At 38.6% G+C, this 11,574-nt stretch overlaps 1 annotated feature.

Annotated features, from left to right (window-relative positions):
* Positions 919-1,507: an enhancer, noted in NCBI's record as "NANOG-H3K27ac-H3K4me1 hESC enhancer chr16:48807676-48808264 (GRCh37/hg19 assembly coordinates)". NCBI's record gives its function as "activates a minimal SCP1, AML or CMV promoter by ChIP-STARR-seq in naive H9 embryonic stem cells {active_cell/tissue: H9 hESC(naive)}" and the evidence as "EXISTENCE:reporter gene assay evidence [ECO:0000049][PMID:30033119]".

Here is an 11,574-nt window from a genome sequence, read left to right as displayed (position 1 = left end):
ATTAAGTAGAATAAAGAATCAGTGAACTTGAAAACAGATCATTTGAAAAGAACCAGAGAAACAAACAAACAGAAAAAGAATGAAAAAGAGTAAAGAATTCCTGTGGAACTCATAGGACCCCAAAAAAGCAAGCTAATATTCATACTATGGGAGTCCCAAAAGGAGCAGAAAAAGAGAAAGGAAAAGAAAGCTTACATAAGAAATAATAATGGAAAATTTCCCAAATTTGGAGAGGGAAATGAATATCCAGATCCATAAAGACCAAAGAACTGCAAATATTAAATATAAGATCTTTATTGAGACATATCATAATCAAATTCTCAAAAGCTAAATACAAAGCGAGAACTTTGAAAGTAGCTAGATAGGACAGGTGCAGTGGTTCATGCCTGTAATCCCAATACTTTAGGAGGCCAAGACAGATGGATCACTGAAGGTCAGGAGTTCCAGACCAGCCTGGTCAACATGGTGAGATCCCGTCTTTATTAAAAATATAAAAATCAGCTGGGCATGGTGGCAAGTGTGTGTAACCCCAGCTATTTGGAAGGCTGAGGCAAGAGAATTGCTTGAGCCTTGGAGGTGGAGGTTGCAGTGAGCCAAGATCATGTCACTGCACTCCAGTCTGGGTGACATAGTGAGACTCCATCTCAAAAAATAAAAAAAAAATAATAGGGGAGGAACCAAGATGGCCGAATAGGAACAGCTCCGGTCTACAGCTCCCAGCGTGAGCGATGCAGAAGATGGGTGATTTCTGCATTTCCATCTGAGGTACCGGGTTCAACTCACTAGGGAGTGCCAGACAGTGGGCGCAGGCCAGTGGGTGTGCGCACCGTGTGCGAGCCGAAGCAGGGCGAGGCATTGCCTCACCTGGGAAGCGCAAGGGGTCAGGGAGTTCCCTTTCCGAGTCAAAGAAAGGGGTGACAGACGCACCTGGAAAATCGGGTCACTCCCACCCGAATATTGCACTTTTCAGACCGGCTTAAAAAACGGCGCACCACGAGATTATATCCCACACCTGGCTCGGAGGGTTCTACGCCCACGGAATCTGGCTGATTGCTAGCACAGCAGTCTGAGATCAAACTGCAAGGCGGCAGCGAGGCTGGGGGAGGGGCGCCCGCCATTGCCCAGGCTTGCTTAGGTAAACAAAGCTGCCGGGAAGCTCGAACTGGGTGGAGCCCACCACAGCTCAAGGAGGCCTGCCGGCCTCTGTAGGCTCCACCTCTGGAGGCAGGGCACAGACAAACAAAAAGACAGCAGTAACCTCTGCAGACTTAAATGTCCCTGTCTGACAGCTTTGAAGAGAGCAGTGGTTCTCCCAGCACGCAGCTGGAGATCTGAGAATGGGCAGACTGCCTCCTCAAGTGGGTCCCTGACCCCTGACCCCCGAGCAGCCTAACTGGGAGGCACCCCCCAGCAGGGGCACACTGACACCTCACACGGCAGGGTATTCCAACAGACCTGCAGCTGAGGGTCCTGTCTGTTAGAAGGAAAACTAACAAACAGAAAGGACATCCACACCAAAAACCCATCTGTACATCACCATCATCAAAGACCAAAAGTAGATAAAACCACAAAGATGGGGAAAAAACAGAACAGAAAAACTGGAAACTCTAAAACGCAGAGTGCCTCTCCTCCTCCAAAGGAACGCAGTTCCTCACCAGTAACGGAACAAAGCTGGATGGAGAATGATTTTGACGAGCTGAGAGAAGAAGGCTTCAGACGATCAAATTACTCTGAGCTATGGGAGGACATTCAAACCAAAGGCAAAGAAGTTGAAAACTTTGAAAAAAATTTAGAAGAATGTACAACTAGAATAACCAATACAGAGAAGTGCTTAAAGGAGTTGATGGAGCTGAAAACCAAGGCTCGAGAACTACGTGAAGAATGCAGAAGCCTCAGGAGCCGATGCGATCAACTGGAAGAAAGGGTATCAGCAATGGAAGATGAAATGAATGAAATGAAGCGAGAAGGGAAGTTTAGAGAAAAAAGAATAAAAAGAAATGAGCAAAGCCTCCAAGAAATATGGGACTATGTGAAAAGACCAAATCTACATCTCATTGGTGTACCTGAAAGTGATGGGGAGAATGGAACCAAGTTGGAAAACACTCTGCAGGATATTATCCAGGAGAACTTCCCCAATCTAGCAAGGCAGGCCAACGTTCAGATTCAGGAAATACAGAGAACGCCACAAAGATACTCCTCGAGAAGAGCAACTCCAAGACACATAATTGTCAGATTCACCAAAGTTGAAATGAAGGAAAAAATGTTAAGGGCAGCCAGAGAGAAAGGTGGGGTTACCCTCAAAGGGAAGCCCATCAGACTAACAGCGGATCTCTCAGCAGAAACCCTACAAGCCAGAAGAGAGTGGGGGCCAATATTCAACATTCTTAAAGAAAAGAATTTTCAACCCAGAATTTCATATCCAGCCAAACTAAGCTTCATAAGTGAAGGAGAAATAAAATACTTTACAGACAAGCAAATGCTGAGAGATTTTGTCACCACCAGGCCTGCCCTAAGAGAGCTCCTGAAGGAAGCGCTAAACATGGAAAGGAACAACCGGTACCAGCCACTGCAAAATCATGCCAAAATGTAAAGACCATCGAGACTAGGAAGAAAGTGCATCAACTAATGAGCAAAATCACCAGCTAACATCATAATGACAGGATCAAATTCACACATAACAATATTAACTTTAAATGTAAATGGACTAAATTCTCCAATTAAAAGACACAGACTGGCAAGTTGGATAAAGAGTCAAGACCCATCAGTGTGCTGTATTCAGGAAACCCATCTCACGTGCAGAGACACACATAGGCTCAAAATAAAAGGATGGAGGAAGATCTACCAAGCAAATGGAAAACAAAAAAAGGCAGGGGTTGCAATCCTAGTCTCTGATAAAACAGACTTTAAACCAACAAAGATCAAAAGAGACAAAGAAGGCCATTACATAATGGTAAAGGGATCAATTCAACAAGAGGAGCTAACTATCCTAAATATATATGCACCCAATACAGGAGCACCCAGATTCATAAAGCAAGTCCTGAGTGACCTACAAAGAGACTTAGACTCCCACACATTAATAATGGGAGACTTTAACACCCCACTGTCAACATTAGACAGATCAACGAGACAGAAAGTCAACAAGGATACCCAGGAATTGAACTCAGCTCTGCACCAAGCGGACCTGATAGACATCTACAGAACTCTCCACCCCAAATCAACAGAATATACATTTTTTTCAGCACCACACCACATCTATTCCAAAATTGACCACATAGTTGGAAGTAAAGCTCTCCTCAGCAAATGTAAAAGAACAGAAATTATAACAAACTATCTCTCAGACCACAGTGCAATCAAACTAGAACTCAGGATTAAGAATCTCACTCAAAGCCGCTCAACTACATGGAAACTGAACAACCTGCTCCTGAATGACTACTGGGTACATAACGAAATGAAGGCAGAAATAAAGATGTTCTTTGAAACCAACGAGAACAAAGACACAACATACCAGAATCTCTGGGACACATTCAAAGCAGTGTGTAGAGGGAAATTTATAGCACTAAATGCCCACAAGAGAAAGCAGGAAAGATCCAAAATTGACACCCTAATATCACAATTAAAAGAACTAGAAAAGAAAGAGCAAACACATTCAAAAGCTAGCAGAAGGCAAGAAATAACTAAAATCAGAGCAGAACTGAAGGAAATAGAGACACAAAAAATCCTTAAAAAAATCAATGAATCCAGGAGCTGGTTTTTTGAAAGGATCAACAAAATTGATAGACCGCTAGCAAGACTAATAAAGAAAAAAAGAGAGAAGAATCAAATAGACACAATAAAAAATGATAAAGGGGATATCACCACCGATCCCACAGAAATACAAACTACCATCAGAGAATATTACAAACACCTCTATGCAAATAAACTAGAAAATCTAGAAGAAATGGATACATTCCTCGACACATACACTCTCCCAAAACTAAACCAGGAAGAAGTTGAATCTCTGAATAGACCAATAACAGGAGCTGAAATTGTGGCAATAATCAATAGTTTACCAACCAAAAAGAGTCCAGGACCAGATGGATTCACAGCCGAATTCTACCAGAGGTACAAGGAGGAACTGGTACCATTCCTTCTGAACCTATTCCAATCAATAGAAAAAGAGGGAATCCTCCCTAACTCATTTTATGAGGCCAGCATCATTCTGATACCAAAGCCGGGCAGAGACACAACCAAAAAAGAGAATTTTAGACCAATATCCTTGATGAACATTGATGCAAAAATCCTCAATAAAATACTGGCAAACCGAATCCAGCAGCACATCAAAAAGCTTATCCACCATGATCAAGTGGGCTTCATCCCTGGGATGCAAGGCTGGTTCAATATACACAAATCAATAAATGTAATCCAGCATATAAACAGAGCCAAAGACAAAAACCACAGATTATCTCAATAGATGCAGAAAAAGCCTTTGACAAAATTCAACAACCCTTCATGCTAAAAACTCTCAACAAATTAGGTATTGATGGGACGTATTTCAAAATAATAAGAGCTATCTATGACAAACCCACAGCCAGTATCATACTGAATGGGCAAAAACTGGAAGCATTCCCTTTGAAAACTGGCACAAGACAGGGATGCCCTCTCTCACCGCTCCTATTCAACATAGTGTTGGAAGTTCTGGCCAGGGCAATCAGGCAGGAGAAGGAAATAAAGGGTATTCAATTAGGAAATGAGGAAGTCAAATTGTCCCTGTTTGCAGACGACATGATTGTTTATCTAGAAAACCCCATGGTCTCAGCCCAAAATCTCCTTAAGCTGATAAGCAACTTCAGCAAAGTCTCAGGATACAAAATCAATGTACAAAAATCACAAGCATTCCTATACACCAACAACAGACAAACAGAGAGCCAAATCATGAGTGAACTCCCATTCACAATTGCTTCAAAGAGAAAAAAATACCTAGGAATCCAACTTACAAGGGATGTGAAGGACCTCTTCAAGGAGAACTACAAACCACTGCTCAAGGAAATAAAAGAGTATACAAACAAATGGAAGAACATTCCATGCTCATGGGTAGGAAGAATCAATATCGTGAAAATGGCCATACTGCCCAAGGTAATTTACAGATTCAATGCCATCCCCATCAAGCTACCAATGACTTTCTTCACAGAATTGGAAAAAACTACTTTAAAGTTCATATGGAACCAAAAAAGAGCCCGCATCGCCAAGTCAATCCTAAGCCAAAAGAACAAAGCTGGAGGCATCACACTACCTGACTTCAAACTATACTACAAGGCTACAGTAACCAAAACAGCATGGTACTGGTACCAAAACAGAGATATAGATCAATGGAACAGAACAGAGCCCTCAGAAATAACGCCGCTTACCTACAACTATCTGATCTTTGACAAACCTGAGAAAAACAAGCAATGGGGAAAGGATTCCCTATTTAATAAATGGTGCTGGGAAAACTGGCTAGCCATATGTAGACAGCTGAAACTGGATCCCTTCCTTACACCTTATACAAAAATCAATTCAAGATGGATTAAAGATTTAAACGTTAGACCTAAAACCATAAAAACCCTAGAAGAAAACCTAGGCATTACCATTCAGGACATAGGCGTGGGCAAGGACTTCATGTCCAAAACACCAAAAGCAATGGCAACAAAAGCCAAAAGTGACAAATGGGATCTAATTAAACTAAAGAGCTTCTGCACAGCAAAAGAAACTACCATCAGAGTGAACAGGCAACCTACAACATGGGAGAAAATTTTTGCAACTTACTCATCTGACAAAGGGCTAATATCCAGAATCGACAATGAACTCAAACAAATTTACAAGAAAAAAACAAACAACCCCATCAAAAAGTGGGCAAAGGACATGAACAGACACTTCTCAAAAGAAGACATTTATGCAGCCAAAAAACACATGAAAAAATGCTCATCATCACTGGCCATCAGAGAAATGCAAATCAAAACCACTATGAGATATCATCTCACACCAGTTAGAATGGCAATCATTAAAAAGTCAGGAAACAACAGGTGCTGGAGAGGATGTGGAGAAATAGGAACACTTTTACACTGTTGGTGGGACGGTAAACTAGTTCAACCATTGTGGAAGTCAGTGTGGCGATTCCTCAGGGATCTAGAACTAGAAATACCATTTGACCCAGCCATCTCATTACTGGGTATATACCCAAATGACTATAAATCATGCTGCTATAAAGACACATGCACACGTATGTTTATTGCGGCATTATTCACAATAGCAAAGACTTGGAACCAACCCAAATGTCCAACAATGATAGACTGGATTAAGAAAATGTGGCACATATACACCATGGAATACTATGCAGCCATAAAAAATGATGAGTTCATGTCCTTTGTAGGGACATGGATGAAATTGGAAACCATCATTCTCAGTAAACTATCGCAAGAACAAAAAACCAAACACCGCATATTCTCACTCATAGGTGGGAATTGAACAATGAGATCACATGGACACAGGAAGGGGAATATCACTCTGGGGACTGTGGTGGGGAGGGGGGAGGGGGGAGGGATAGCATTGGGAGATATACCTAATGCTAGATGACGAGTTAGTGGGTGCAGTGCACCAGCATGGCACATGTATACATATGTAACTAACCTGCACAATGTGCACATGTACCCTAAAACTTAAAGTATAATTTAAAAAAAATTAAAAAATTAAAAAATAAAAATAAATAAATCAATAAAGTAAGTTGCAAAGTTTGCCCCTAAAAAACAAAAAACAAACATAATAATAATAATAATAATAATAAGCCAGACGCGGTGGCTCATGCTTGCAATCCCAGCACTTTGGGAGGCCGAGGCAGCCAGATCACAAGGTCAGGAGATCGAGACCATCCTGGCTAACACCGTGAAACCCCATCTCTACTAAAAATACAAAAAAAATTAGCCAGGCATGGTGGCGGGTGCCTGTAGTCCCAGCCACTCAGGAGGCTGAGGCAGGAGAATGGTGTGAACCTGGGAGGTGGAGCTTGCAGTGAGCCAAGATCATGCCACTGCACTCCAACCTGGGTGACAGAGCGAGACTCCATCTCAAAAAAAAACTAAATAAAAAGTAATAAAAATAAATAGAAAGTAGCGAGATAAGAGTGACTTGTCACATACAAAGGAATCTTCCTATGAATATCAGCAGATTTCTCAACAGAAACCTTGCATGCCAGGAGAGTAGGATGATATATTCAAAGTTCTAAAAGAAAAAAAATTGCCAACCAAGAACATTATACCTAACAAAGCACTCCTGCAGAAAGAAGAGAAATAAAGACTTTCCCAGAAATACAAAAGCTGTGGAAGTTCATCACTGTTAGACCTGCCTTATAAGAAATGCTAAAAGGAGTTCTTCAAGTTGACACAAAATGATGCTAACTAACAATATAAAAATATAAAACTCACCATAAAGGAAGACCCAGTGGTAGTCTTCCTTTCCACAGTGAAGATTGATCGAACCTCAAAATCTGTTTTATAAGAAGAAAAAAAAAAACAGTATTTTTTAAACACTGTCCTAAAAATAATTTTGTTCACCTCTTAGTAACTTTAAGTCTTTAATAAAATATTTCAGGCCCAGCATGGTGGCTCATACCTATAATCCCAGCACTTTGAGAGGCTGAGGCCAGCAGATTGCTTGTGCTCACAAGTTCAAGATCAGCCTGGGCAACATGGTAAAACCCCATCTTTACAAAAAATACAAAAAATTAGCCAGGCATTGTGGTATGCACCTGTGGTTCCAGCTTCTTGGGTGGCTGAGGTGGGAGGATTACTTGAGCCCAGGAGATTGATGCTGCAGTGAGTAGTAATCATGTCACTGCACTCCAGCTTAGGCAACAGTGAGACCCTTTCTTAAAAAAAATAAACAAGACAAAATATAATAAAATATACGTTCTAATATTAATCTTATTTTGACAATTAATGCAAAATATTCTTGTTTGCTTTCTTATTTTGATGTCTTGAAAATAAATGTAATTCAAATTTATAGCAGATATTGCTATAATACTGCTGTAAACCTAAAACTGCTCTAGAAAATAAAGCCAATATTTTTAAAGTAAAAATTAAAAAACAAATGGAATCACACAGTACATATCCTTCTAAGATGCCTTTTTTCCTTACTCAACATTAAGTGGTTGAGATTAAACTAAATAAACTCAGTTATGGTTTGCTTAACTGGTGTATAGTATCAATTCATTCATTTATTATTTACACATACACAATTTATTTGTTTACTTTCTCATTGATAAACACATAGGTTGAGTCTCAATTTTTTGCAATAATAAATAATGTAGCTATGAACACTCTTGTAAATTTTTTGTGCCTAGTGTGAGTTACTTTAGGATATGTTATTTCCTTGTAGTGGAATTGTTGGGTCCTAAAGAACCAACTCTACAATTATTACCAAGATGTTTTCTAAAATAGTAGTATCAATTTACACTCCTTCCAGCTCCATTATGAAAGTTTCTATCATTTCAAATTCTAGACTGCATTTGAAATTTTAAGTTTTACATTTTTGCCAATATGATTTTTGAAATACTATTTGTTTCTTCTTCCTTCAGTACATAGATTTAAAGCTATAAATTCCTAAGTATTGCTTTAGCTACATCTTATCAATTTTCATGTGCAATTTTTTTCATTGTTGCTTAGTACTAAATCTTTCCTAGTTTCTATCTTGTTGTTTGACCCATGAATTATTTTTAAATGTGCTTTTTAGAAAAATTATAAATGTACAAGTGATATGGGATTATTGTTTTGTTAATGATTAATCATTTTATTACATATGGTCAGAGAATGTCGTTTGTGTAACATTTGTTGTTTGGTATATTTTGAGACTTGTTTTGTAACCTAGTACTTGGTCAAGTTTTGTAACTGTTTGAGGTGTATTTGAAAAGAATGAATATTCTAGAACTGTTGCAAAAGGTCCAGTGTTCCTTATAGACCTATTATATCCACAATCATAATAGCAAATGAAGGCAATTGTGTTGTTTAAATTTTTCATGGCTTAATCGAAAAACCAATTAATGACAGTAATGCATTAAAACATTCTATATTTATTGTGGATTTGTCAACTTTTTTCTGTAATTCTTTTTTCTTTTGTTTTTGCTTTGTCTGGAAGGCTATATCATTAGATTTATGTAAGTATAAGGCATATGTAAGGAAAATACTCCTTCAATTATATCATAAAACTCTTTATCCTTAAATTTTTATTTTAGGTTCAAGAGTACATGTGCAGATTTGTTATATAGGTAAATTGGATGTCACAGGGGTTTGGTGTACAGATTGTTTTATCACTCGGGTAATAAGCATAGAGCCTGATAGGTAGTTTTTCAATCCTTACTCTCCTTCCAGCCTCCATCCTCAAGTAGGCTCCGATGTCTATTTTTCCATTTTTTTTGTGTTCATATGTACTCAATGTTTAGCTCCCACTTAAAGTGAGAACATGTGATATTTGGTTTTCTGTTCCTATGGTAGTTTACTTAGGATAATAACCTCTATCTCCAACCATGTTGCTGCATAGTATTCCTTGGTGTGTATGTGCCACATTTCCTTTATCCGTTCTACCATCATTGGGCATTTAGGTCGATTCCATGTCTTTGCTATTGTGCTGCAACGAATATACACATGTATATGTGTCTTTATGGTAGAACGATCTATATTCCTTTGGATATATACACTATAATGCATTTGCTGGGTCAAATGCTAGTTCTGCTTTGAGTTCTTTGAGAAATCGCCAAACTACTTTCCACAGTGACTGAATTAATTTACCTTTCCACCAACAGTGTATAAGCATTTCCTTTTCTCCACAACCTGGCCAGCATCTATTATTTCTTGACATTTTAATAGTAGTCATTCTGATGGGTATGAGATGACATCTCACTGTGGTTTTGATTTGCATTTCTCTAATAATAAGTGATGTTGAGAATTTTTTCATATGTTTTTTGGCCACGTATGTGTCTTCTTCTGATAAGTGCCTGTTTAACAATGCTTTTTATATTATCACCTATATATTTGGTCTGATATTAATATTACTATGCTGGTTACTTTTAGATAATATTTCTCTATTATGTGAATATACCAATATTTACATTTCCTTTGCTTTTGATAATTCTAGTCTGATTTTCTGAGTTTCCTACTCCAACATGTGAGTATATGTTTTTTCTAACTGGTAAAGGTTTATTTACCATTATTATAATTACCAGTTTATTTCCATTTATATATACTATTTTATCTTTAGTTCCTATTTACTATAATTGTTCCTTATTGTTTTCTACCTGCACATTTTCAATGGAATTACCTGAGTTTTCTTTCTTCCTTTTTCTAGCCTAATTTAAAAATTTGAACTCTATTAGCATTCTATTGGACAGTAAAATTCTATTTCTTTTTTATTATTGTACTTTAAGTTCTAGGGTACATGTGCACAATGTGCAGGTTTGTTACATATGTATACATGTGCCATATTGCTTTGCTGCACCTATTAACTCATCATTTACATTAGGTATCTCTCCTAATGCCCTCCCTCCCCCATCCCCCCACCCCACAACAGGCCCCAGTGTGTGATGTTCCCCACCCTATGTCCAAGTGTTCTCATTGTTCAATCCCCTCTATGAGTGAGAACATGTGGTGTTTGGTTTTCTGCCTTTGTGATAGTTTGCTTTGAATGATGATTTCCAGCTTCATCCATGTCCCTACAAAGGACATGAACTCATCCTTTTTATGGCTGCATAGTATTCCATGGGGTATATGTGCCACATTTTCTTAATCCAGTCTATCATTGATGGACATTTGGGTTGGTTCCAAGTCTTTGCTATTGTGAATAGGGCCACAATAAACATACATGTGCATGTGTCTTTATAGTAGCATGATTTATAATCGTTTGGGTATATACCCAGTAAAGAGATCGCTGGGTCTAACAGTATTTCTAGTTCTAGATCCCTGAGGAATCACCACACTATCCTCCACAATGGCTGAACTAGTTTACACTCCTACCAACAGTGTAAAAGTGTTCCTATTTCTCCACATCTTCTCCAGCACCTGTTGTTTCCTGACTTTTTAATCATCATTCTAACTGGCGTGAGATGGTATCTCATTGTGGTTTTGATCTGAATTTCTCTGATGGCCAGTGATGATGAGCATTTTTTCATGTGTCTGTTGGCTGCAAAAATGTCTTCTTTTGAGAACTGTCTTCATATTCTTTGCCCACTTTTTGATGGGTTTGTTTGATTTTTTCTTGTAAATTTTTTTAAGTTCTTTGTAGATTCTGGATATTAGCCCTTTGTCAGATGGGTAAATTGCAAAAATTTTCTCCCATTCTGTAGGTGGCCTGTACACTCTGATGGTAGTTTCTTTTGCTGTGCAGAAGCTCTTTAGTTTAATTAGGTCCCATTTCTCTATTTTGGCTTTTGTTGCCATTGCTTTTGGTGTTTTAGTCATGAAGTCCTTGCCCATGCCTATGTCCTGAATGGTATTGCCTAGGTTTTCTTCTAGGGCCTTTATGGCTTTAGGTCTAACATTTAAGTCTTTAATCCATCTTGAATTAATTTTTGTATAA

This window comes from Homo sapiens, chromosome 16 (genome assembly GCF_000001405.40).
Source record: "Homo sapiens chromosome 16, GRCh38.p14 Primary Assembly".
NCBI classification, from domain to species: Eukaryota; Metazoa; Chordata; class Mammalia; order Primates; family Hominidae; genus Homo; species Homo sapiens.
The sequence above is the reverse complement of the archived record's forward strand: the minus strand, read 5'-3'. Positions and strand labels throughout refer to the sequence as shown.